This window comes from Homo sapiens, chromosome 6 (genome assembly GCF_000001405.40).
Source record: "Homo sapiens chromosome 6, GRCh38.p14 Primary Assembly".
In the NCBI taxonomy this organism is placed as follows: Eukaryota; Metazoa; Chordata; class Mammalia; order Primates; family Hominidae; genus Homo; species Homo sapiens.
Genome location: NC_000006.12, coordinates 77,712,065 through 77,739,891, shown reverse-complemented (window position 1 = coordinate 77,739,891; position 27,827 = coordinate 77,712,065). Strand labels below are relative to the sequence as shown.

At 39.8% G+C, this 27,827-nt stretch overlaps 1 protein-coding gene across 4 annotated transcripts in view, besides 5 other annotated features; it reads right to left on the bottom strand.

The window, feature by feature from the left end:
• The window catches only part of MEI4 (meiotic double-stranded break formation protein 4), a 276,772-nt gene that overhangs the window by 187,154 nt on the left and 61,791 nt on the right, over positions 1–27,827 (bottom strand). The window contains exon 1 of one of the 4 annotated variants that reach the window (XM_005248774.5): positions 23,027–23,084. The exons of the other annotated variants lie outside the window; for them this stretch is intronic. The gene's annotated coding sequence lies outside the window, so the exon portion shown is untranslated. Of the gene's footprint in view, positions 1–23,026; positions 23,085–27,827 lie in introns of those variants that run through there. 4 annotated transcript variants of the gene reach the window in all.
• Positions 12,850–13,560: an enhancer, noted in NCBI's record as "OCT4-NANOG-H3K27ac hESC enhancer chr6:78436049-78436759 (GRCh37/hg19 assembly coordinates)". NCBI's record gives its function as "activates a minimal SCP1, AML or CMV promoter by ChIP-STARR-seq in naive H9 embryonic stem cells {active_cell/tissue: H9 hESC(naive)}" and the evidence as "EXISTENCE:reporter gene assay evidence [ECO:0000049][PMID:30033119]".
• Positions 13,561–14,270: an enhancer, noted in NCBI's record as "OCT4-NANOG-H3K27ac hESC enhancer chr6:78435339-78436048 (GRCh37/hg19 assembly coordinates)". NCBI's record gives its function as "activates a minimal SCP1, AML or CMV promoter by ChIP-STARR-seq in naive H9 embryonic stem cells {active_cell/tissue: H9 hESC(naive)}" and the evidence as "EXISTENCE:reporter gene assay evidence [ECO:0000049][PMID:30033119]".
• Positions 21,454–22,181: an enhancer, noted in NCBI's record as "NANOG-H3K27ac hESC enhancer chr6:78427428-78428155 (GRCh37/hg19 assembly coordinates)". NCBI's record gives its function as "activates a minimal SCP1, AML or CMV promoter by ChIP-STARR-seq in naive H9 embryonic stem cells {active_cell/tissue: H9 hESC(naive)}" and the evidence as "EXISTENCE:reporter gene assay evidence [ECO:0000049][PMID:30033119]".
• Positions 22,182–22,908: an enhancer, noted in NCBI's record as "OCT4-NANOG-H3K27ac hESC enhancer chr6:78426701-78427427 (GRCh37/hg19 assembly coordinates)". NCBI's record gives its function as "activates a minimal SCP1, AML or CMV promoter by ChIP-STARR-seq in naive H9 embryonic stem cells {active_cell/tissue: H9 hESC(naive)}" and the evidence as "EXISTENCE:reporter gene assay evidence [ECO:0000049][PMID:30033119]".
• Positions 22,909–23,637: an enhancer, noted in NCBI's record as "OCT4-NANOG-H3K27ac hESC enhancer chr6:78425972-78426700 (GRCh37/hg19 assembly coordinates)". NCBI's record gives its function as "activates a minimal SCP1, AML or CMV promoter by ChIP-STARR-seq in primed H9 embryonic stem cells {active_cell/tissue: H9 hESC(primed)}" and the evidence as "EXISTENCE:reporter gene assay evidence [ECO:0000049][PMID:30033119]".

The window sequence follows — 27,827 nt, the reverse complement described above, 5'->3', positions numbered from 1 at the left end:
AACATCAAAACTAACAGAATTAGAGAACCAAGAGCCAAGCAATCCCAAAGCTAGCAGAAGACAAGAAATAATCAAAATCAAAGCTGAACTAAAAGACATTGAGACACAAAAAAATTCAAAAGATCAACAAATCCAGGAGTTGGTTTTCCTATTTTTTTTTTTAATTCTAAGTTCTGGGATACATGTGCAGAACGTGCAGGTTTGTTACATAGGTATACACGTGCCATAGTGGTTTGCTGTACCTATCAACCCATCATCTAGGTTTCAAGCATGCATTAAGTATTTGTCCTAATGGTGTCCCTCCCCTTGCTCCCCACCCCCTGACAGGCCCAGTGTGTGATGTTCCCCTCCCTGTGTCCACAGGTTCTCATTGTTCAACTTCCACTTATGAGTGAGAACATGCAGTGCTTGGTTTTCTGTTCTGTATTAGTCTGGTGAGAATGACAGCTTCCAGGTTCATCCATGTCCCTGCAAAGGACATGAACTCATTCTATTCTATGGCTGCATAGTATTCCATGGTGTGTATGTGCCAACAAGCAATGGGGACAGGATTCCCTATTTAATAAATAGTGCTGGGAAAACTGATTAGCCATATGCAGAAAACTGAAACTGGACCTCTTCCTTAAACCTAACACAAAAAATTAACTCAAGATGGGTTAAAGACTTAAAGGTAAAACTCAAAACCAAAAAAAACCCTAGAAGAAAACTTAGGCAATACCATTCAGGATATAGGCATGGGCAAAGACTTCATGACCAAAACACCAAAAGCTATTGCAACAAAAGCCAAAATTGATGAATGGGATCTAATTAAACTAAAGAGCTGGACAGCAAAAGAAATTATCATCATAGTGAACAGGCAACTGACAGAATGGGAGAAAATTTTTGCAATCTACCCATCTGACAAAGATCTACTATCCAGAGTCTACAAGGAATTTAAATTTACAAGAAAAAAACAACCCCATCAAAAAGTGGGCAAAGGATATGAACAGACACTTTTCAAAAGAAGACATTTATGCGGCCAAGAAACATATGAGAAAAAGCTCATCAACACTGCTCATTAGAGAAATGCAAATCAAAACCACAATGAGCTACCATCTCACACCAGTTAGAATGGAGATGGTTAAAGTCAGGAAACAACAGATGCTGGAGAGGATGTGGAGAAATAGGAATGCTTTTACAGTGTTGGTGGAAGTGTAAATTAGTTGAACAATTGTAGAATACAGTGTGGCAATTCCTGAAGGATCTAGAACCAAAAATACCATTTGACCCAGAAATCCCATTACTGAATATACACCCAAATGATTATAAATCATTCTACTATAAAGACACATGCACATGTATGTTTATTGCAGCACTATTTACAATATTAACTACTTGGAACCAACCCAAATGCCCCTCAATGATAGACTGGATAAAGAAAATACTGATAAAATAGATACAGCACTAGCTAGACTAATAAAGAAAGAAAAGAGAGAAGAGCCAAATAAAATTCAGTTAATTTATCCCATTCTAGCAATTTGCATCACTCTTCTAACTTTGAATATACCAAAAGAGGTATCACTCTCAAATGCGTGAAATTATAAACTAATGAGAAGATTCGTTTTAGCTGAATTGTCTTCACTACCTGAGCTTCAAAAAACAACACAAAAGATTTGTGGGTCAGCTTGGCTCTAAACTATTTGACAATACAATTCCCTTTGCCTTTAGGTGCTCAAATTCTGGACTTCCCTGGTTGTCACTTTCTCTCCGAAACCATCCTTTAACTCTCCAACACAAACCTTCCTCCTTGCTGTGCTTTTGATACAACCCCTCATTCCAGTTTCGTGGATGTCCCCATCTTTCTCACTGCCTCAAAGAATTCTTTTAGGCAGATGACTTTCTTATCTGTATTTCTAATCCTGACACTTCTCTCAAGTTCAAGTCACCAGCTTTCCTTCCTTGCTACTATCTCAATATGACTTGACTTCAGAAGCTGAAACCTCATTCGTCCAAAAAAATTCACCATTTCCACTTACTCTTGGTACAACTTCCTGCTAGTACTGCTACTACCCTCCAGTCTCCAAGGTTTGAAACCTGAGAGTCAACCTTGACTTCTTCCTTGACCTCCATATACATTCCATTGACAGATGATATTGATCCTATCTCTCCCTTCTTTCCTTGTTCCCCTTTGGGGGCTTTGCATTAAACCTTCCCTCTGCCTGTGATGCTCTCCTCACTCCCACTCCCAATAGTCTCAAGGCTTATTTATTCCATGTTATCATTCAAGCTTCTCTTTAAATGTCCCTTCCTCAGAAAGGTCTCCATGATCTCCTAATTTCTATCATATCATCCAGTCGTAATTCTCTAAATATTACTACCACTTTCTGATCATTTCCTAATGGCATATTCTGTCCATGCCCTTAGGAACGTGCACTCCTCAAGTGTCCTGGACTCCCTGATTTATTGCTATATCCCGAGCCTTTATTGTTAAGAGCTCAATATTTCAGAACAACTAAAAATCTTTTAAAAATACCAGCACCTCTTTTATTTCCATGCCAAAGTAATTACATGTAAGACCTGAGCTATGACAGTGATGTCCCTGTTTCCAATCTCCTCCCTCTCCCAAACAATTCTAAACACTGATGCCTAATTACTCTGTCTAAATAGCCTTATCCATCAGATAACCTAAATAAATAACTTATGGAAAGTATACTGTCTTAGAAATGCACAGCATACACTCAATAAATATTAAGTTTCCCTTTTATTTTCCTGTTGGAAAATCCTTAAAATGCCACTTACTGCCTACAGAATGCAGCATGTTTTCCACTGGCTGTCACACCTTTTCTTACTAGGCTTCAACCTAGTTTGTCATCTTATTTTCTAGAACACCTCCTCATGCTCTGTATGCCACTATCATATTACATCATTTGCCAGTATATTCCTCTACCTATACTTTACATTGTTCCCACTTGTTTGAAATAGCCTAGTACCCATAGCTCTCTAAATCCTATCCATCCTTAAAGGCAAGCAACTTCCTTCAAAATACTTTTAAAAGTCCTGTTCTCTAAGACAAAATAATCACTTTCTCTCCTCTGAACGTTAGTATCTTTCTCTGGACTACAGGGTCTCATTGGGTACAATTAATGATGTAATCTTACCCTCACTAGACTGTGTGATGCTATGGGCAGGGCTTAAACTTTATCTTTCTGTATTTTCTACATTGTTTTGTACCTCACAAATACTGAATTAAGGGGGTAGGAGCCAAAATGGCCGAATAGGAACAGCTCCGGTCTACAGCTCCCAGCATGAGCGACGCAGAAGACGAATGATTTCTGCATTTCCATCTGAGGTACAGGGTTCATCTCATTAGGGAGTGCCAGACAGTGGGCGCAGGTCAGTGTGTGCGCGCACCGTTCGCAAGCCGAAGCAGGGCGAGGCATTGCCTCACTCCAGAAGCACAAGGGGTCAGGGAGTTCCCTTTCCTAGTCAAAGAAAGGGGTGACAGATGGCACCTGGAAAATCGGGTCACTCCCACCCAAATACTGCGCTTTTCCAACGGGCTTAAAAACGGCGCACCAGGAGATTATATCCCGCACATGGCTCGGAGGGTAATACGCCCACGGAGTCTTGCTGATTGCTAGCACAGCCCTCTGAGATCAAACTGCAAGGGGGCAGCAAGGTTGGGGGAGGGGCGCCCGCCATTGCCCAGGCTTGCTTAGGGTAAACAAAGCAGCCTGGAAGCTCGAACCCGGTGGAGCCCACAACAGCTCAAAGGAGGCCTGCCTGCCTCTGTAGGCTCCACCTCTGGGGGCAGGGCACAGACAAACAAAAAGACAGCAGTAACCTCTGCAGACTTAAAAGTCCCTGTCTGACAGTTTGAAGAGAGCAGTGGTTCTCCCAGCACGCAGCTGGAGATCTGAGAACGGGCAGACTGCCTCCTCAAGTGGGTCCCTGACCCCTGACCCCCGAGCAGCCTAACTGGGAGGCATCCCCCAGCAGGGGCAGACTGACACCTCACACGGCCGGGTACTCCAACAGACCTGCAGCTGAGGGTCCTGTCTGTTAGAAGGAAAACTAATAAACAGAAAGTACATCCACACCAAAAACCCATCTGTACGTCACCATCATCAAAGACCAAAAATAGATAAAACCACAAAGATGGGGAAAAAACAAAGCAGAAAAACTGAAAACTCTAAAAATCAGAGCACCTCTCCTCCTCCAAAGGAACGCAGCTCCTCACCAGCAATGGAACAAAGCTGGACAGAGAATGACTTTGACAAGCTAAGAGAAGAAGGCTTCAGACAATCAAATTACTCCGAGCTACGGGAGGACATTCAAACCGAAGGCAAAGAAGTTGAAAACTTTGAAAAAAATTTAGAAGAATGTATAACTAGAATAACCAATACAGAGAAGTGCTTAAAGGACCTGATGAAGCTGAAAACCAAGGCTCGAGAACTACGTGAAGAATGCAGAAGCCTCAGGAGCCGATGCGATCAACTGGAAGAAAGGGTATCAGTGATGGAAGATGAAATGAATGAAATGAAGCAAGAAGGGAAGTTTAGAGAAAAAAGAATAAAAAGAAATGAGCAAAGCCTCCAAGAAATATGGGACTATGTGAAAAGACCAAATCTACGTCTGATTGGTGTACCTGAAAGTGACGGGGAGAATGGAGCCAAGTTGGAAAACACTCTGCAGGATATTATCCAGGAGAACTTCCCCAATCTAGCAAGGCAGGCCAACATTCAAATTCAGGAAATACAGAGAATGTCACAAAGATACTCCTCGAGAAGAGCAACTCCAAGACACATAATTGTCAGTTCACCGAAGTAGAAATGAAGGAAAAAACGTTAAGGGCAGCCAGAGAGAAAGGTACGGTTACCCACAAGGGGAAGCCCATCAGACTAACAGCGGATCTCTCGGCAGAAACCCTACAAGCCAGAAGAGAGTGGGGGCCAATATTCAACATTCTTAAAGAAAAGAATTTTCAACCCAGAATTTCATATCCAGCCAAACTAAGCTTCATAAGTGAAGGAGAAATAAAATCCTTTACAGACAAGCAAATGCTGAGAGATTTTGTCACAACCAGGCCTGCCCTAAAAGAGCTCCTGAAGGAAGCGCTAAACACGGAAAGGAACAACCAGTAACAGCCACTGCAAAATCATGCCAAAAGGTAAAGACCATCGAGACTAGGAAGAAACTGCATCAACTAACGAGCAAAATAACCAGCTAACATAATGACAGGATCAAATTCACACATAATAATATTAACTTTAAATGTAAATGGACTAAATGCTCCAATTAAAAGACACAGACTGGCAAATTGGATAAAGAGTCAAGACCCATCAGTGTGCTGTATTCAGGAAACCCATCTCACGTGCAGAGACACAAATAGGCTCAAAATAAAAGATTGGAGGAAGATCTACCAAGCAAATGGAAAACAAAAAAAGGCAGGGGTTGCAATCCTAGTCTCTGATAAAACAGACTTTAAACCAACAAAGATCAAAAGACACAAAGAAGGCCATTACATAATGGTAAAGAGATCAATTCAACAAGAAGAGCTAACTATCCTAAATATATATCCTAAATATATATCCCAATACAGGAGCACCCAGATTCATAAAGCAAGCCCTGAGTGACCTACAAAGAGACTTAGACTCCCACACATTAATAATGGGAGATGTTAACACCGCACTGTCAACATTAGACAGATCATGAGACAGAAAGTCAACAAGGATACCCAGGAATTGAACTCAGCTCTGCACCAAGCGGACCTAATAGACATCTACAGAACTCTCCACCCCAAATCAACAGAATATACATTTTTTTCAGCACCACACCACACCTATTCCAAAACTGACCACATACTTGGAAGTAAAGCTCTCCTCAGCAAGTGTAAAAGAAAAGAAATTATAACAAACTATCTCTCAGACCACAGTGCAATCAAACTAGAACTCAGGAATAAGAATCTCACTCAAAACCACTCAACTACATGGAAACTGAACAACATGCTCCTGAATGACTACTGGGTACATAACAAAATGAAGGCAGAAATAAAGATGTTCTTTGAAACCAATAAGAACAAACATACAACATACCAGAATCTCTGGGACACATTCAAAGCACTGTGTAGAGGGAAATTTATAGCACTAAATGCCCACAAGAGAAAGCAGAAAAGATCCAGAATTGACACCCTAACATCACAATTAAAAGAACTAGAAAAGCAAGAGCAAACGTATTCAAAAGCTAGCAGAAGGCAAGAAATAACTAAAATCAGAGCAGAACTGAAGGAAATAGAGGCACAAAAAACCCTTCAAAAAATTAATCAATCCAGGAGCTGGTTTTTTGAAATGATCAACAAAACTGATAAACCGCTAGCAAGACTAATAAAGAAAAAAAGAGAGAAGAATCAAATAGACACAATAAAAAATGATAAACGGGATACCACCACCGATCACACAGAAATACAAACTACCATCAGAGAATACTACGAACACCTCTACGCAAATAAACCAGAAAATCTAGAAGAAATGGATAAATTCCTAGACACATACACTCTCCCAAGACTAAACCAGGAAGAAGTTGAATCTCTGAATAGACCAATAACAGGATCTGAAATTGTGGCAGTAATCAATAGCTTACCAACCAAAAAGAGTCCAGGATCAGATGGATTCACAGCCAAATTCTACCAGAGGTACTAGGAGGAGCTGGTACCATTCCTTCTGAAACTATTCCAATCAATAGAAAAAGAGGGAATCCTCCCTAACTCATTTTATGAAGCCAGCATCATCTTGATACCAAAGCCTGGCAGAGACACAACCAAAAAAGAGAATTTTAGATCAATATCCTTGATGAACATTGATGCAAAAATCCTCAATAAAATACTGGCAAAACGAATCCAGCAGCACATCAAAAAGCTTATCCACCATCATCAAGTGGGCTTCATCCCTGGGATGCAAGGCTGGTTCAATATATGCAAATCAATAAATGTAACCAGCATATAAACAGAACCAAAGACAAAAACCACATGATTATCTCAATAGATGCACAAAAGGCCTTTGACAAAATTCAACAACTCTTCATGCTAAAAACTCTGAATAAATTAGGTATTGATGGGACGTATTTCAAAATAATAAGAGCTATCTATGGCAAACCCACAGCCAATATCATACTGAATGGGCAAAAACTGGAAGCATTCCCTTTGAAAACTGGCACAAGACAGGGATGCCCTCTCTCACCACTCCTATTCAACATAGTGTTGGAAGTCTTGGCCAGGGCAATTAGGCAGGAGAAGGAAATAAAGGGTATTCAATTAGGAAAAGAGGAAGTCAAATTGTCCCTGTTTGCAGATGACATGATTGTATATCTGGAAAACCCCTTGTCTCAGCCCAAAATCTCCTTAAGCTGATAAGCAACTTCAGCAAAGTCTCAGGATACAAGATCAATGTGCAAAAATCACAAGCATTCTTATACACCAAGAACAGACAAACATAGAGCCAAATCATGAGTGAACTCCCATTCACAATTGCTTCAAAGAGAATAAAATACCTAGGAATCCAAATTACAAGGGATGTGAAGGACCTTTTCAAGGAGAACCTCAAACCACTGCTCAAGGAAATAAAAGAGGATAAAAACAAATGGAAGAACATTCCATGCTCATGGGTAGAAAGAATCAATATCGTGAAAATGGCCATACTGCCCAAGGTAATTTACAGATTCAATGCCATCCCCATCAAGCTACCAATGACGTTCTTCACAGAATTGGAAAAAACTACTTTCAAGTTCATATGGAACCAAAAAAGAGCCCGCATCGCCAAGTCAATCCTAAGTCAAAAGAACAAAGCTGGAGGCATCACACTACCTGACTTCAAACTATACTACAAAGCTACAGTAACCAAAACAGCATGGTACTGGTACCAAAACAGAGATATAGATCAATGGAACAGAACAGAGCCCTCAGAAATAATGCCGCATATGTACAACTATCTGATCTTTGACAAACCTGACAAAAACAAGCATTGGGGAAAGGATTCCCTATTTAATAAATGGTGCTGGAAAACTGGCTAGCCATATGTAGAAAGCTGAAACTGGATCCCTTCCTTACACCTTATACAAAAATTAATTCAAGATGGTTTAAAGACTTACATGTTAGACCTAAAACCATAAAAACCCTAGAAGAAAACCTAAGCATTACTATTCAGGACATAGGCATGGGCAAGGACTTCATGTCTAAAACACCAAAAGCAATGGCAACAAAAGCCAAAATTGACAAATGGGATCTAATTCAACTAAAGAGCTTCTGCACAGCAAAAGAAACTACCATCAGAGTGAACAGGCAACCTACAAAATGGGAGAAAATTTTCACAACCTACTCATCTGACAAAGGGCTAATATCCAGAATCTACAATGAACTCAAATAAATTTACAAGAAAAAAACAAACAACCCCATCAAAAAGTGGGCAAAGGACATGAACAGACACTTCTCAAAAGAAGACATTTATGCAGCCAAAAAACACAGGAAAAAATGCTCACCATCACTGGCCATCAGAGAAATGCAAATCAAAACCACAATGAGATACCATCTCACACCAGTTAGAATGGCAATCATTAAAAAGTCAGGAAACAACAGGTGCTGGAGAGGATGTGGAGAAATAGGAACACTTTTACACTGTTGGTGGGACTGTAAACTAGTTCAACCATTGTGGAAGTCAGTGTGGCGATTCCTCAGGGATCTAGAACTAGAAATACCATTTGACCCAGCCATCCCATTACTGGGTATGTACCCAAAGGATTATAAATCATGCTGCTATAAAGACACATGCACACATATGTTTATTGAGGCACTAGTCACACTAGCAAAGGCTTGGAACCAACCCAAATGTCCAACAACAATAGACTGGATTAAGAAAATGTGGCACATATACACCATGGAATACTATGCAGCCATAAAAAATGATGGGTTCATGTCCTTTGTAGGGACATGGATGAAATTGGAAATCAGCATTCTCAGTAAACTATCGTAAGAACAAAAAACCAAACACTGCATATTCTCACTCATAGGCGGGAATTGAACAATGAGAACACAGGGACACAGGAAGGGGAACATCACACTCTGGGGACTGTTTTGGGGTGGGGGGAGGGGCGAGGGATAGCACTGGGAGATACACCTAATGCTAGATGACGAGTTAGTGGGTGCAGCGCACCAGCATGGCACATGTATACATATGTAACTAACTTGCACATTGTGCACGTGTACCCTAAAACTTAAGGTATAATAATAATAAATAAAAGTAAATAAATAAATAAATAATATATAAGACTAAAAAAAATACTGAATTAAAAGGGACTGAATAAATGAGCAAAATAATTGCTCTGAAAGAAAAGAGTTAGTAGGGAAAAACTGGGAGCTGATAAGAGGAAACCATCTCTCTTTGGATTCCATTATTTAAGGGTCAAAAACTTGCAGTATAGTGAAAACATAGTCCTAATTCCGTTTCCTAACAAACAGGAAGTGTCAGGATGAGAGAAGGCGAACACTTATATTGTGATGTCAATATCACACACAGCCCTATAGAATAAGGTCAAAGTCATGGTGATACAATCTGCTACAAAGTGTAACAGTGAATCCACCTGCATAATTTCCATTCATCAATGTGTGAATGCTACCATGAGGAACTGGTAAAAACAATAAAATTACTGAAGTCAGCAATACACCCAATTCAGTGCCCCCTATACACTGTACACGCCAAACACACAGCTCTCTCCACCGTCTAGCCCCAATTACCTTTCCCATTGAGATCTCACAGATCTTCTCTCTCTCCTTGAACAAGCCTTTCTCCAAGAGAATTTGCCTGACTTTGTTTGCCACCAAGACACTGAAGACACTACTTTGACCTCAGCTCTTGGCCACAGAGTTCCAATTGCTCACATCTATGCTGCTGGGATGTTACCTTTAGACTGAGTTGTTCTCCCGAGCCTCCCTTGCTAGGCAACTCAGGTTGATATTCATTTCTACCATGCATCTACTTCACTTTCTTTATTGAAAATCAGATGCACTGATACCTTTTACCCAATGCATTGTTTCCTTAACTTATATTATCATAAGAAGAAAATACTAAAATTAATTATTCCTAAGCATAGACATTCAGTGTTTCCTAAGGAAGTTTCCAGAAAACTGTCTTTTAAGTAAATATTCAGGGGATTCTCATATCTGTTCTCTACACTGTTTGTACCCTATAAATGCTGAATAAAAAGGGGGTGATTAATTGAAGAAGTCTGTAAAGTACTGCTTTGCTCTTTTCCCAAACTCCTGCACTCAGCCTGCATTACCTGTTTCTTGCTGGACTTGTGGCCACTAAGTCATCATAATGAAAGATCTTACATCCCTGGTTTTCAATCTTGCCTGCACATTAGACTGACTTACTTTTTGGAAAACACCAATACTAACCCACATCCTATGCCAAACACATCAGAATCACTGGGTGTAAAACCCAGATACTACTATCTTTTAAAGCTCCTAGGTTATTCCAGTGTGAGAAACACTATCTTTTAATAACCCATTTATGCCTAACGTTGCAACTTTTTCGATTTTGAAATCAGACCTTGGTGATGACCTTGAGCAGTAGGATATAATTAACTCCCACATGCTTAGAGTTCCAGTAATGGGACACTAGGCATAAATGGGTTAATGTATGTTTACACTACTATTCTTTGGATAGCAGAGAAGTAGGATATGTCCCATTTATCCCACCTCCACTCTCACCTTTGTGACTCCAAGAATGTCTTCCTACTTCCTCTCTATGAGTTCATGTTAATTTGTTTAATCTTTCAAAGTTCAGCTGGAGCTCTGCTCCCTTTCCGGGGCTTCTCTTCACTTACTTTCTATTTTGTGAAAGTAGAGCCTTACATGTTCTAACTGTCCGATCCCACCTTATGCTAAACCATTATCACCTCCCTTATGGGCACAGTTCTACTATATCCCCTCTCAGTTACAGCCCATTCTCCATACAGCAGCCAGAGCAAGAAGTTTAAAACTCCTAAAGTTCACCAAAGAATTCCCACTGTATTGAAAGTCCTACCCACTGGAACAGGTGTTTCCTCTGTCTCCTCTCTGGCCTCATCACTCACCCTCTATTCCTTACTTGCTCTGCTCCACAGCCACACTGGCTGTTTCTGCTCACTGAACTTTCTGCCTCAAACCAATCTGGATGGCTCCACTCCTTCAGGAGTCAACTCAAACATTCCCTTCTGAATAAAGGCTTCCTGACGATCCAGTCTAAATTAGTGGCCCTGCTCTATCTCCAGGTACTCCATCACTTCAATCTGGCTTATTTTGTTCACAGCTTTTAACATTCAGTTTTCTTGCTTACAGGTTTACTTTTTAATGTCTACATCCTCCATGCTAATATAAATTGTATTACTTTTGTCTTGTTCCTGGTAGACTTCCAGAAATCAAAGTGTTTTGGCTGAATAAAGAAATGAATCAATCAATGAACAAATGAACATGCATATAACCCAAGAAAAAACTATATGCATGATGTGTAGTATCTTTATACATGACTACTTTAGGAGCTCATACCTTTCTAACTATATCATAAGCTCCTAATGAGTAGTAAGCAGACTTTTTCTTCTTTTACAATCTTTAGAACTAAGCTAGTGTAATACATTTAAGTACCTATTAATTATTTTGGCTATTTTAGAACATCTTCATTATTGTATTGAAAAATATTTTTTTAACTTTCAGTTACCTATATAATCATCCAACCAATAAACATCTATCTAAATTGAATGTTTACTATATCACACCTGAACAAGCACAACAAGTCTGCAATTTTAATTCACCTTCCAATTCTTTCACCTTTCACCTTCACTCTCTCAACCACATTCGTCTTACTAGGTACTGTGCAACTTATAAATCTTACAATTACAGTCTCTGCCTGTATGTGGGCATTGATTAGTCTGATAGAGAGTCAAGCATGTTTTTCTCTAACTAATGTACATCTGTTACGATCAAAGAGACAGAGATTTCAATCAGGAAACTCCTGCGAGGATGCTCCAAGTCTGAGCTGCTTCTCCAGGGGTAAGGCCTTACTGTGACCAGAACATTTTTTAAAGTGGGCCTTATATAGGCTTATGGTTTATGGATTCTGGTTTCAAGATTTCATTTAATGTTTTTACATCTGACACATCAAAACCTGTCCATGAAATGTAGGCTTTGTTTAAAAGCTATCAAAAACTTCACTGTGAAAGACCAGAATCAAATAATTTATTTTCTAAAACCTTACTGACAATCACAGATACCAAAGAAATTGCTTTCTATGAAACAGAGGACAAGAAAGCACAAACTTCAGAAAATCACAGTGATTACTATATTTTGCTAGTATTACATGAAATATGATCACAGTGGGCAATACTGTCTTCCAACACCTTCTTCTTATTTATTTTGGAATCAATAGTTCAGACTGTCCCTGGTAAATGCTAAACATATATCTTCAAATAACTTAGCCTTTGCCAAGGAAATAATCTCATAGTCCTAGGATACATAAAACATTCATAAAATCCCCTTTAATCTTCACTTCTGAGGACAAATGATAGTGTTTCTCCAAAGCGCTGAAGATTATAATATAGGCCATAATATGCATCAGTCATCCTACTAGTGCCTTTCAAGGTCTTGATGCATTTACCTCCTTTTCCCCCAGGGTGCCAGGAATACCCATAAATTCTGTTGATCCAAGTAGGTGGACTCTGTTCTGACCTTCACTAACCCTGGAGGGTCCAGAATCACCACTCACATCTGAGAGACCCTCTCCCGTTTTTGTGGAGGTATCACCCCAAGAGAAATCTAACAATGGATCTTGCAGGTACCAAAAAAAATTGTAATTGTTGGCTTATTAAACACATGTCCCCCTTCCCTCCCAAGAGTATCTTTAGTCCTTATAAAGAACAAAGTAATTAAATAGCATATACATACATCATTGTTGGATAAAACGTTATTTATTTAAAGCACCAATTTCAAAATCTTGAATCCCTTTTGAGCACTCCTTTTTATTCTCTCCTACAGCTAGTCAGTTATTAAATAAGCTTATTTTTGTCTGTTACAAAATGCACCACACTGAAATCTTTACCCTTTAGCCTTGCTAGCATCCTAGTCCATTCTCTTCTCATCATGCTTAGAATACACCTATCTTCTCCTAGCAGATTTTCCTGTTTTAGTTCCTTCCTCTCTCCTACATCCCACACACAACTGGTGTAGATTTTACACCAGGCCTATTACACGGTCCTTTAATGTCTCCCCTCTGTTTAATGTCTTAGGGCAAACCTCATAAGAACAATCATATTTTGTGCCCTGGACATACTAAATCCAAACCTCAGGATGTTCTTCCCTTCCTGGGTTGTAGAAACCCCTGCTTATTGATGCTCTACGCTTCCTTGTTCACATGCTGTCTCTTCTCTGAAAATCCCTAACCACATGCCCGCAGTTTTCTTTCCATTAATATTCTATGACACTCACTGCCAGTCTCAGGTGTTTGGATCTTCCACATATATATGCTGTGGGGAAAAGCAAGAGAGATCAGATTGTTACTGTGTCTGTGTAGAAAGAAGTAGACATAGGAGACTCCATTTTGTTATGTACTAAGAAAAATTCTTCTGCCTTGAGATTCTGTGACCTTACCCCCAACCCCGTGCTCTCTGAAATGTGTGCTGTGTCAACTCAGAGTTAAATGGATTAAGGGCGGTGCAGGATGTGCTTTGTTAAACAGATGCTTGAAGGCAGCATGCTCCTTAAGAGTCATCACCACTCCCTAATCTCAAGTACCCAGGGACACAAAAACTGCGGAAGGCCGCAGGGACCTCTGCCTAGGAAAGCCAGGTATTGTCCAAGGTTTCTCCCCATGTGATAGTCTGAAATATGGCCTCGTGGGAAGGGAAAGACCTGACCGTCCCCCAGCCTGACACCCGTAAAGGGTCTGTGCTGAGGAGGATTAGTAAAAGAGGAAGGAATGCCTCTTGCAGTTGAGACAAGAGGAAGGCATCTGTCTCCTGCCTGTCCCTGGGCAATGGAATGTCTCGGTATAAAACCCGATTGTATGCTCCATCTACTGAGATAGGGAAAAACCGCCTTAGGGCTGGAGGTGGGACCTGCGGGCAGCAATACTGCTTTGTAAAGCACTGAGATGTTTATGTGTATGCATATCTAAAAGCACAGCACTTAATCCTTTACATTGTCTATGATGCCAAGACCTTTGTTCACATGTTTGTCTGCTGACCCTCTCCCCACAATTGTCTTGTGACCCTGACACATCCCCCTCTTTGAGAAACACCCACAGATGATCAATAAATACGAAGGGAACTCAGAGGCTGGCGGGATCCTCCATATGCTGAACGCTGGTTCCCCGGGTCCCCTTATTTCTTTCTCTATACTTTGTCTCTGTGTCTTTTTCTTTTCCAAATCTCTCGTCCCACCTTACGAGAAACACCCACAGGTGTGTAGGGGCAACCCACCCCTACATCTGGTGCCCAACGTGGAGGCTTTTCTCTAGGGTGAAGGTACGCTCGAGCGTGGTCATTGAGGACAAGTCGACGAGAGATCCCGAGTACGTCTACAGTCAGCCTTACGGTAAGCTTGTGCGCTCGGAAGAAGCTAGGGTGATAATGGGGCAAACTAAAAGTAAAATTAAAAGTAAATATGCCTCTTATCTCAGCTTTATTAAAATTCTTTTAAAAAGAGGGGGAGTTAAAGTATCTACAAAAAATCTAATCAAGCTATTTCAAATAATAGAACAATTTTGCCCATGGTTTCCAGAACAAGGAACTTTAGATCTAAAAGATTGGAAAAGAATTGGTAAGGAACTAAAACAAGCAGGTAGGAAGGGTAATATCATTCCACTTACAGTATGGAATGATTGGGCCATTATTAAAGCAGCTTTAGAACCATTTCAAACAGAAGAAGATAGTATTTCAGTTTCTGATGCCCCTGGAAGCGGTATAATAGATTGTAATGAAAAGACAAGGAAAAAATCCCAGAAAGAAACCGAAAGTTTACATTGCGAATATGTAGCAGAGCCGGTAATGGCTCAGTCAACGCAAAATGTTGACTATAATCAATTACAGGAGGTGATATATCCTGAAACGTTAAAATTAGAAGGAAAAGGTCCAGAATTAGTGGGGCCATCAGAGTCTAAACCACGAGGCACAAGTCCTCTTCCAGCAGGTCAGGTGCCTGTAACATTACAACCTCAAAAGCAGGTTAAAGAAAATAAGACCCAACCGCCAGTAGCCTATCAATACTGGCCTCCGGCTGAACTTCAGTATCGGCCACCCCCAGAAAGTCAGTATGGATATCCAGGAATGCCCCCAGCACCACAGGGCAGGGCGCCATACCCTCAGCCGCCCACTAGGAGACTTAATCCTACGGCACCACCTAGTAGACAGGGTAGTGAATTACATGAAATTATTGATAAATCAAGAAAGGAAGGAGATACTGAGGCATGGCAATTCCCAGTAACGTTAGAACCGATGCCACCTGGAGAAGGAGCCCAAGAGGGAGAGCCTCCCACAGTTGAGGCCAGATACAAGTCTTTTTCGATAAAAATACTAAAAGATATGAAAGAGGGAGTAAAACAGTATGGACCCAACTCCCCTTATATGAGGACATTATTAGATTCCATTGCTCATGGACATAGACTCATTCCTTATGATTGGGAGATTCTGGCAAAATCGTCTCTCTCACCCTCTCAATTTTTACAATTTAAGACTTGGTGGATTGATGGGGTACAAGAACAGGTCCGAAGAAATAGGGCTGCCAATCCTCCAGTTAACATAGATGCAGATCAACTATTAGGAATAGGTCAAAATTGGAGTACTATTAGTCAACAAGCATTAATGCAAAATGAGGCCATTGAGCAAGTTAGAGCTATCTGCCTTAGAGCCTGGGAAAAAATCCAAGACCCAGGAAGTACCTGCCCCTCATTTAATACAGTAAGACAAGGTTCAAAAGAGCCCTATCCTGATTTTGTGGCAAGGCTCCAAGATGTTGCTCAAAAGTCAATTGCCGATGAAAAAGCCCGTAAGGTCATAGTGGAGTTGATGGCATATGAAAACGCCAATCCTGAGTGTCAATCAGCCATTAAGCCATTAAAAGGAAAGGTTCCTGCAGGATCAGATGTAATCTCAGAATATGTAAAAGCCTGTGATGGAATCGGAGGAGCTATGCATAAAGCTATGCTTATGGCTCAAGCAATAACAGGAGTTGTTTTAGGAGGACAAGTTAGAACATTTGGAGGAAAATGTTATAATTGTGGTCAAATTGGTCACTTAAAAAAGAATTGCCCAGTCTTAAACAAACAGAATATAACTATTCAAGCAACTACAACAGGTAGAGAGCCACCTGACTTATGTCCAAGATGTAAAAAAGGAAAACATTGGGCTAGTCAATGTCGTTCTAAATTTGATAAAAATGGGCAACCATTGTCGGGAAACGAGCAAAGGGGCCAGCCTCAGGCCCCACAACAAACTGGGGCATTCCCAATTCAGCCATTTGTTCCTCAGGGTTTTCAGGGACAACAACCCCCACTGTCCCAAGTGTTTCAGGGAATAAGCCAGTTACCACAATACAACAATTGTCCCCCGCCACAAGTGGCAGTGCAGCAGTAGATTTATGTACTATACAAGCAGTCTCTCTGCTTCCAGGGGAGCCCCCACAAAAAATCCCTACAGGGGTATATGGCCCCCTGCCTGAGGGGACTGTAGGACTAATCTTGGGAAGATCAAGTCTAAATCTAAAAGGAGTTCAAATTCATACTAGTGTGGTTGATTCAGACTATAAAGGCGAAATTCAGTTGGTTATTAGCTCTTCAGTTCCTTGGAGTGCCAGTCCAGGAGACAGGATTGCTCAATTATTACTCCTGCCATATATTAAGGGTGGAAATAGTGAAATAAAAAGAATAGGAGGGCTTGGAAGCACTGATCCAACAGGAAAGGCTGCATATTGGGCAAGTCAGGTCTCAGAGAACAGACCTGTGTGTAAGGCCATTATTCAAGGAAAACAGTTTGAAGGGTTGGTAGACACTGGAGCAGATGTCTCTATCATTGCTTTAAATCAGTGGCCAAAAAATTGGCCTAAACAAAAGGCTGTTACAGGACTTGTCGGCATAGGCACAGCCTCAGAAGTGTATCAAAGTATGGAGATTTTACATTGCTTAGGGCCAGATAATCAAGAAAGTACTGTTCAGCCAATGATTACTTCAATTCCTCTTAATCTGTGGGGTCGAGATTTATTACAACAATGGGGTGCGGAAATCACCATGCCCGCTCCATTATATAGCCCCACGAGTCAAAAAATCATGACCAAGAGGGGATATATACCAGGAAAGGGACTAGGGAAAAATGAAGATGGCATTAAAATTCCATTTGAGGCTAAAATAAATCAAAAAAGAGAAGGAATAGGGTATCCTTTTTAGGGGCGGCCACTATAGAGCCTCCTAAACCCATACCATTAACTTGGAAAACAGAAAAACCGGTGTGGGTAAATCAGTGGCCGCTACCAAAACAAAAACTGGAGGCTTTACATTTATTAGCAAATGAACAGTTAGAAAAGGGTCATATTGAGCCTTCGTTCTCACCTTGGAATTCTCCTGTGTTTGTAATTCAGAAGAAATCAGGCAAATGGCGTATGTTAACTGACTTAAGGGCTGTAAACGCCGTAATTCAACCCATGGGGCCTCTCCAACCCGGGTTGCCCTCTCCGGCCATGATCCCAAAAGATTGGCCTTTAATTATAATTGATCTAAAGGATTGCTTTTTTACCATCCCTCTGGCAGAGCAGGATTGTGAAAAATTTGCCTTTACTATACCAGCCATAAATAATAAAGAACCAGCCACCAGGTTTCAGTGGAAAGTGTTACCTCAGGGAATGCTTAATAGTCCAACTATTTGTCAGACTTTTGTAGGTCGAGCTCTTCAACCAGTTAAAGTTTTCAGACTGTTATATTATTCATTATATTGATGATATTTTATGTGCTGCAGAAACGAAAGATAAATTAATTGACTGTTATACATTTCTGCAAGCAGAGGTTGCCAATGCTGGACTGGCAATAGCATCTGATAAGATCCAAACCTCTACTCCTTTTCATTATTTAGGGATGCAGATAGAAAATAGAAAAATTAAGCCACAAAAAATAGAAATAAGAAAAGACACATTAAAAACACTAAATGATTTTCAAAAATTACTAGGAGATATTAATTGGATTTGGCCAACTCTAGGCATTCCTACTTATGCCATGTCAAATTTGTTCTCTATCTTAAGAGGAGACTCAGACTTAAATAGTAAAAGAATGTTAACCCCAGAGGCAACAAAAGAAATTAAATTAGTGGAAGAAAAAATTCAGTCAGCGCAAATAAATAGAATAGATCCCTTAGCCCCACTCCAACTTTTGATTTTTGCCACTGCACATTCTCCAACAGGCATCATTATTCAAAATACTGATCTTGTGGAGTGGTCATTCCTTCCTCACAGTACAGTTAAGACTTTTACACTGTACTTGGATCAAATAGCTACATTAATCGGTCAGACAAGATTACGAATAATAAAATTATGTGGAAATGACCCAGACAAAATAGTTGTCCCTTTAACCAAGGAACAAGTTAGACAAGCCTTTATCAATTCTGGTGCATGGAAGATTGGTCTTGCTAATTTTGTGGGAATTATTGATAATCATTACCCAAAAACAAAGATCTTCCAGTTCTTAAAATTGACTACTTGGATTCTACCTAAAATTACCAGACGTGAACCTTTAGAAAATGCTCTAACAGTATTTACTGATGGTTCCAGCAATGGAAAAGCAGCTTACACAGGGCCGAAAGAACGAGTAATCAAAACTCCATATCAATCGGCTCAAAGAGCAGAGTTGGTTGCAGTCATTACAGTGTTACAAGATTTTGACCAACCTATCAATATTATATCAGATTCTGCATATGTAGTACAGGCTACAAGGGATGTTGAGACAGCTCTAATTAAATATAGCATGGATGATCAGTTAAACCAGCTATTCAATTTATTACAACAAACTGTAAGAAAAAGAAATTTCCCATTTTATATTACTCATATTCGAGCACACACTAATTTACCAGGGCCTTTGACTAAAGCAAATGAACAAGCTGACTTACTGGTATCATCTGCACTCATAAAAGCACAAGAACTTCATGCTTTGACTCATGTAAATGCAGCAGGATTAAAAAACAAATTTGATGTCACATGGAAACAGGCAAAAGATATTGTACAACATTGCACCCAGTGTCAAGTCTTACACCTGCCCACTCAAGAGGCAGGAGTTAATCCCAGAGGTCTGTGTCACGCATGTACCTTCATTTGGAAGATTATCATATGTTCATGTAACAGTTGATACTTATTCACATTTCATATGGGCAACTTGCCAAACAGGAGAAAGTACTTCCCATGTTAAAAAACATTTATTGTCTTGTTTTGCTGTAATGGGAGTTCCAGAAAAAATCAAAACTGACAATGGACCAGGATATTGTAGTAAAGCTTTCCAAAAATTCTTAAGTCAGTGGAAAATTTCACATACAACAGGAATTCCTTATAATTCCCAAGGACAGGCCATAGTTGAAAGAACTAATAGAACACTCAAAACTCAATTAGTTAAACAAAAAGAAGGGGGAGACAGTAAGGAGTGTACCACTCCTCAGATGCAACTTAATCTAGCACTCTATACTTTAAATTTTTTAAACATTTATAGAAATCAGACTACTACTTCTGCAGAACAACATCTTACTGGTAAAAAGAACAGCCCACATGAAGGAAAACTAATTTGGTGGAAAGATAATAAAAATAAGACATGGGAAATAGGGAAGGTGATAACGTGGGGGAGAGGTTTTGCTTGTGTTTCACCAGGAGAAAATCAGCTTCCTGTTTGGATACCCACTAGACCTTTGAAGTTCTACAATGAACCCATCAGAGATGCAAAGAAAAGCACCTCCGCGGAGACGGAGACACCGCAATCGAGCACCGTTGACTCACAAGATGAACAAAATGGTGACGTCAGAAGAACAGATGAAGTTGCCATCCACCAAGAAGGCAGAGCCGCCGACTTGGGCACAACTAAAGAAGCTGACGCAGTTAGCTACAAAATATCTAGAGAACACAAAGGTGACACAAACCCCAGAGAGTATGCTGCTTGCAGCCTTGATGATTGTATCAATGGTGGTAAGTCTCCCTATGCCTGCAGGAGCAGCTGCAGCTAACTATACCAACTGGGCCTATGTGCCTTTCCCGCCCTTAATTCGGGCAGTCACATGGATGGATAATCCTATAGAAGTATATGTTAATGATAGTGTATGGGTACCTGGCCCCATAGATGATCGCTGCCCTGCCAAACCTGAGGAAGAAGGGATGATGATAAATATTTCCATTGGGTATCGTTATCCTATTTGCCTAGGGAGAGCACCAGGATGTTTAATGCCTGCAGTCCAAAATTGGTTGGTAGAAGTACCTATTGTCAGTCCCATCTGTAGATTCACTTATCACATGGTAAGCGGGATGTCACTCAGGCCACGGGTAAATTATTTACAAGACTTTTCTTATCAAAGATCACTAAAATTTAGACCTAAAGGGAAACCTTGCCCCAAGGAAATTCCCAAAGAATCAAAAAATACAGAAGTTTTAGTTTGGGAAGAATGTGTGGCCAATAGTGCGGTGATATTACAAAACAATGAATTTGGAACTATTATAGATTGGACACCTCAAGGTCAATTCTACCACAATTGCTCAGGACAAACTCAGTCGTGTCCAAGTGCACAAGTGAGTCCAGCTGTTGATAGCGACTTAACAGAAAGTTTAGACAAACATAAGCATAAAAAATTGCAGTCTTTCTACCCTTGGGAATGGGGAGAAAAAGGAATCTCTACCCCAAGACCAAAAATAATAAGTCCTGTTTCTGGTCCTGAACATCCAGAATTATGGAGGCTTACTGTGGCCTCACACCACATTAGAATTTGGTCTGGAAATCAAACTTTAGAAACAAGAGATCGTAAGCCATTTTATACTGTCGACCTAAATTCCAGTCTAACACTTCCTTTACAAAGTTGCGTAAAGCCCCCTTATATGCTAGTTGTAGGAAATATAGTTATTAAACCAGACTCCCAGACTATAACCTGTGAAAATTGTAGATTGCTTACTTGCATTGATTCAACTTTTAATTGGCAACACCGTATTCTGCTGGTGAGAGCAAGAGAGGGCGTGTGGATCCCTGTGTCCATGGACCGACCATGGGAGGCCTCACCATCCATCCATATTTTGACTGAAGTATTAAAAGGTGTTTTAAATAGATCCAAAAGATTCATTTTTACTTTAATTGCAGTGATTATGGGATTAATTGCAGTCACAGCTACGGCTGCTGTAGCAGGAGTTGCATTGCACTCTTCTGTTCAGTCAGTAAACTTTGTTAATGATGGGCAAAAAAATTCTACAAGATTGTGGAATTCACAATCTAGTATTGATCAAAAATTGGCAAATCAAATTAATGATCTTAGACAAACTGTCATTTGGATGGGAGACAGACTCATGAGCTTAGAACATCGTTTCCAGTTACAATGTGACTGGAATACGTCAGATTTTTGTATTACACCCCAAATTTATAATGAGTCTGAGCATCACTGGGACATGGTTAGACGCCATCTACAGGGAAGAGAAGATAATCTCACTTTAGACATTTCCAAATTAAAAGAACAAATTTTCGAAGCATCAAAAGCCCATTTAAATTTGGTGCCAGGAACTGAGGCAATTGCAGGAGTTGCTGATGGCCTCGCAAATCTTAACCCTGTCACTTGGGTTAAGACCATTGGAAGTACTACGATTATAAATCTCATATTAATCCTTGTGTGCCTGTTTTGTCTGTTGTTAGTCTGCAGGTGTACCCAACAGCTCCGAAGAGACAGCGACCATCGAGAACGGGCCATGATGACGATGGCGGTTTTGTCGAAAAGAAAAGGGGGAAATGTGGGGAAAAGCAAGAGAGATCAGATTGTTACTGTGTCTGTGTAGAAAGAAGTAGACATAGGAGACTCCATTTTGTTATGTACTAAGAAAAATTCTTCTGCCTTGAGATTCTGTGACCTTACCCCCAACCCCGTGCTCTCTGAAATGTGTGCTGTGTCAACTCAGAGTTAAATGGATTAAGGGCGGTGCAGGATGTGCTTTGTTAAACAGATGCTTGAAGGCAGCATGCTCCTTAAGAGTCATCACCACTCCCTAATCTCAAGTACCCAGGGACACAAAAACTGCGGAAGGCCGCAGGGACCTCTGCCTAGGAAAGCCAGGTATTGTCCAAGGTTTCTCCCCATGTGATAGTCTGAAATATGGCCTCGTGGGAAGGGAAAGACCTGACCGTCCCCCAGCCCGACACCCGTAAAGGGTCTGTGCTGAGGAGGATTAGTAAAAGAGGAAGGAATGCCTCTTGCAGTTGAGACAAGAGGAAGGCATCTGTCTCCTGCCTGTCCCTGGGCAATGGAATGTCTCGGTATAAAACCTGATTGTATGCTCCATCTACTGAGATAGGGAAAAACCGCCTTAGGGCTGGAGGTGGGACCTGCGGGCAGCAATACTGCTTTGTAAAGCACTGAGATGTTTATGTGTATGCATATCTAAAAGCACAGCACTTAATCCTTTACATTGTCTATGATGCCAAGACCTTTGTTCACGTGTTTGTCTGCTGACCCTCTCCCCACAATTGTCTTGTGACCCTGACACATCCCCCTCTTTGAGAAACACCCACAGATGATCAATAAATACGAAGGGAACTCAGAGGCTGGCGGGATCCTCCATATGCTGAACGCTGGTTCCCCGGGTCCCCTTATTTCTTTCTCTATACTTTGTCTCTGTGTCTTTTTCTTTTCCAAATCTCTCGTCCCACCTTACGAGAAACACCCACAGGTGTGTAGGGGCAACCCACCCCTACAATATGCTACTTCTTTCAACAAAGCTGTGAGTAAGCAAGTGACCTCCTGGTCACTTAAATGGACAGTCATCATTTTCTACCTTGCTTGACATCTCATCTGTTTCCTCATTCTGAAAATATTCTCCTTGTTCAACTTCCACATGACAACATGCAGTGTTTGGTTTTCTGTTCCAGAAAAATAAAGTAAAATAAAATTTTAAAAATATACATTCTCTTCACTTGGTTTATATGATATTACCTTTCCCAAAATTATCCTACCTAATTCACCTTTTCTACTTACCTTTTGCCAACTTTTATTCTCACCATTGTTCACCATCCCGACTGATACTACCCTTGCCCAAGTTACTCCCCTTTTTTGCCAATCCCAGGGCAATGAATTCTTAACTGGACTCCACACATTCAGCCTCACCCCTTGCCAATGTGTCTCATGATGGAGCCCAGTGGGTGGTCTTTTCAATTGCAAATCTTATTGTGTCACTCATCTGCTGACAATACCTCAATAAAAACTGCATTTTTTTCAAGCACACAGGTAATTCTAATGTGCAGCCAAGTTTGAGAATAACTCCTCTAACCATATTCACTTCCACACCTTGTGGTATTTCTTTTATCCAGAATATTCTCTTACCTCTCAAAACTCAGCTATCCTGATTGACTAATGTTCAATCTTCAGATTTTAATTTAAATGCTTCTCTTCAAGAAGGCCATCTCTGATAGTCTATATCTGATCTGATTCCCCTGTAATTGGCTCCCATGAAACCTGTTAATATACGTTAACCATCTGTTTTCTGCCTTTGACTGTAAACTCCAAAGAGAAAGTGCCATATCTGTTTTGCCAGTGTATTGCAAGCACTTAGCATGGTGCCAGGCACAAGGTGAGTGCTCAGAAATTTCTGCTAAAAGAATCTTATAACAATATTCTTTAAAAACGTATTACAAAAGTTCAGAGGTGAAAAGATTATGTCACTGTGGAATCACATAAATTACTCTTTTCTTAAAAGCTCACAAAACTGTGTAAAAATATATCAAACCAGACAACCGAGAAATAGAAAAAAAAATTGTAACCGGCCAATTTTCAACCAAGAAATTAAATGCCTTTCATTTCGCCATTGAATAAAATATTTGAAGCATGACATAATAACTCATCACGTGACGTTAAGTATATGAACTAACTATAGGCTTGTTATGAAGACAAGAATTATTCACACACTGAAGTTTGGAGACATACGTGATTCCATAGCTAACACTCTTTTTAAGTATAGTCTATCTGCCAGTAAAGCCCAAATGAGAACTCTGTAAGTACATTAGGGATATGGCCAAAAGCCATATGCTTGATTCTGCAGAGTCTATTATCTAGCATAGGAAGACAAAACAAAAATATGCCTAATTCTGAAAAAGAAGCACAGCCAAAAAAAGCTCACTGGTCAATCATTACCCTGTCAAATATGATTAAAACGATAAAACTATAATTACTTTGGCACCAACCTAATATATTCTTATGATTAGTAAAAAGGAGAGCTCAAAGTCAATTTTCTGTAGATACCTTAATCAAACAGAACTCATTTCCACTGATTTTTACTATTGTGTTGGTCCTGAAAATAAAGTCCATTCTCAGGGGTTTTCTGGTTTTTATAACTAGTTAAAAACTAGTAAAACATCATAGCTTTAGTATTATCGTTCATCCATCACTCACTACAAAATCAGTGGTCTAGGAAATTAAATACACTTAACCAAGAGAGCAGAATAATCTCTTACCATTAAAACATAAAATTAACACACATTTTTTTTCCAGAAGAGAATAAACCAAACTAAATAGATTCGCCTCACCAGAATAAATGATTTCACACAACTCATACTGTATTCTGTTTAATTCATCAAACCCATGTTAGGTGTTGCAATGGAAGGGCACTGAAATAAGACTAAAAGGACTCAAGTGATAAATAAGGCATGGCTTCCTCCCATCAGAGAACTCAGGAAACGCAGGGCAACAACTGACTCTACTGCAAGGCAAAAAGGCATTTCTGTCAAACACAGGTCCAGGTGATACGCTAGAGGGTCACAGACAAATTAGTTCAAACTAGGGAAGGGCAAAAAATACTTGATATTGCATGAGTGTTGAGAGATCATGGAGCATTTATTGGGATGGGGGGCAGTCTTTCACACCAGGAAGAAGCACAGATGAGGGCACAGAGGCAGGGGCACCAAGCAATGGTGTGGAGAAAGTAGAGCTGGAGCAGAGGTAATGCACAGATAGGGATATGGGGCTGAAAAGAAATTCTGGGTGCACAATAGAGAGCGCCTTGAATGGAATCAGCTCCTAAATCACGTAAATCCATTCACTGTTTAAAACGTGGTCTTCACTGTTTAAGATATGATTTTAATTCATTGAAGCTCCTTTTTATTTTATAGACTAGATGCTACCTAGTTTATGAACTGCAAATAAAATGCCAATTAGATCTTTGAAACTAAATTTGTGGAAATGTTGTTTTTCACAGTGACAACCATAAACTGTTAAAGAAAGAAGTAAATGATATTACAATGTGTGAAATTTATGGAAAACCTCCCAAATGAGATAGTATTGTTTCAGACATTCATGTTATAAAGAAATAATAAAAATAGTTCAGAGTCAATTCTCAAAGTATAATAAAAAGAATTGACATTTTATAGACTATGGTGTTGTTTGCTTTACTTTTCTGTTTTGTTTTTTTTTTAAATTTTTAAGTGTTACATAGGTAAACTTGTGTCATGGAGTGTGTTGTACAGACAATTTCATCACAATAGCAAAGACATAGAATCAATCTAAATGCCCCTCAATTATAAACTAGATAAAGAAAATGTGGTACATATACAACATGGACTACTATGTAGCCATACAAAAGAATGAGATCATGTCTTTTGTAGGGACATAGATAGAGCTGGAGGCCATTATCCTTAGCAAACTAACACAGAAACAGAAAACCAAATACCACATATTCTTACTTATAAGTAGGAGCTAAATGATGGGAACACTTAAGACATGATCTTAACTGTGACAGAAAAAAAAACTGTAGAGGCAATAAGCATGGCAGACAACCTATTACGGGGGCTCCTGAAATAGGCAAGTAGAGATGATGTTTAACAGATGACAGAAATCACAAAGCTCATTGTGGAAGGGGAAGAACACTGAAAATTATATAACTGAGAAATCAGAACAAAAGAATAGCAATCAGATTAGAGCATCTTATAACAATACAGAAACGGAATCGAGAATGAAAATCAAGTTCCATTAATGTAACTCACAAAATCACTGAACACAGTAACACCTGAATTCCTACATTTTCTGAACAATTTATTCCTAAGAGAAGCAGACCCATAACACACTGAGGATCTTTCACTTTTGATTCTGGACTGAAACTGGAGAATGTGGCCATGATGCCCATCATTCAATTTCACTGGAAGAAAAAAACTCACACAACACTCTTAAATATTTGCCCTACCCTTTTCCACAACATAATCTACTTAACAGCTAGATTCAGTTGTTTATATAAGACAGAATTAAACAATAAAATTCTCAATTCCTTAAAACAAACAAACAAAAAAATTCTTAGGTTCTTCTGCTGCTAAGGAATTAATGAACTTACCATCAGATTATCAAGGCCAAGGGAGAAGAAAGCTAGTATTTATTTGTTGCCTATGTGACAGGAAGCAGTGTGTTAAGCATTCCTCATTAATCCTTAACCATAAGTTCCTCAATATCCAAACCATTGTCATCCTCATTTTTCAGAACAGGAGAGTGTGTATCATGGAGGTAAGCAACTTGCTCCAAAGAAGTTAGCTAATGTTGACAGAGCTAATATTCAAATTCAGATTCTTCTGACTCTAAAAGCCACTTTTTCTTATTGGAAAGAGTGCTCTTTCCAATAAGCACTGTGTCTCCAAGAATTCATCTTCGGCAACCCTAATGCTCCATCAATAATGCTTCTTCTTTTTTTTTTTTTTGAGATGGAGTCTCACTCTTTTGCCCAGGCTGGAATGCAGTGGCCCTATCTCGGCTCACTGCAAGCTCCGCCTCCCGGGTTTACGCCATTCTCCTGCCTCAGCCTCCCAAGTAGCTGGGACTACAGGCGCCCACCACCACACCCGGCTAGTTTTTTGTATTTTTAGTAGAGACGGGGTTTCACCATGTTAGCTAGGATGGTCTCCATCTCCTGACCTCGTGATCCACCTGCCTTAGCCTCCCAAAGTGCTGGGATTACAGGCATGAGCCACCGCACCCGGCCTCCTTTTGTTGTTCCTTTCTTCATTAATTTATACATGCTCATTCCTAAATTAATCACGGAGCACCTACTGGATGATAAATGTTGATTATGATCATTCATTAGTATCTATAAGTCTTTTATATTAAGCATGGCATTCTAAGCCTTGCCCTTTTCCTTATTCATATCTATTGTCAGAATGGTTGCTAACATCACACCACTTCTATTTATTTCCAAGACGTGTTCTAGTAAACATATAAATTCATGATATTCATGCCATAAAGTTATGTGTCTACTACTTTCTTTAAATATAAAAATCCTCATTAGTTGGGGAAAAAAAGCATGTACCACAGAACTACCTAAAAGATAATATCCCCATTATTTAAGTAAATTTAACAGCTTGGAACTGTTCGAAAAGTTGTTTATTAACAGTATTAATATTAAAATGTGTGAATTAAGACAAATGATGCCACAAGATTTTAGTGTAATTTTAACTAAAAATCATGTAGATATGTGTATGTGTGTGTATATGCAAACAAACAAAGTACCCTCTTAAACATTTACTTGTAAATCATGCAATAAAAAGCACCTCTGCATCAATTGATACAGGGTTTCTTGCAAATGTTCAGCGTACTGCCAATAATATTTC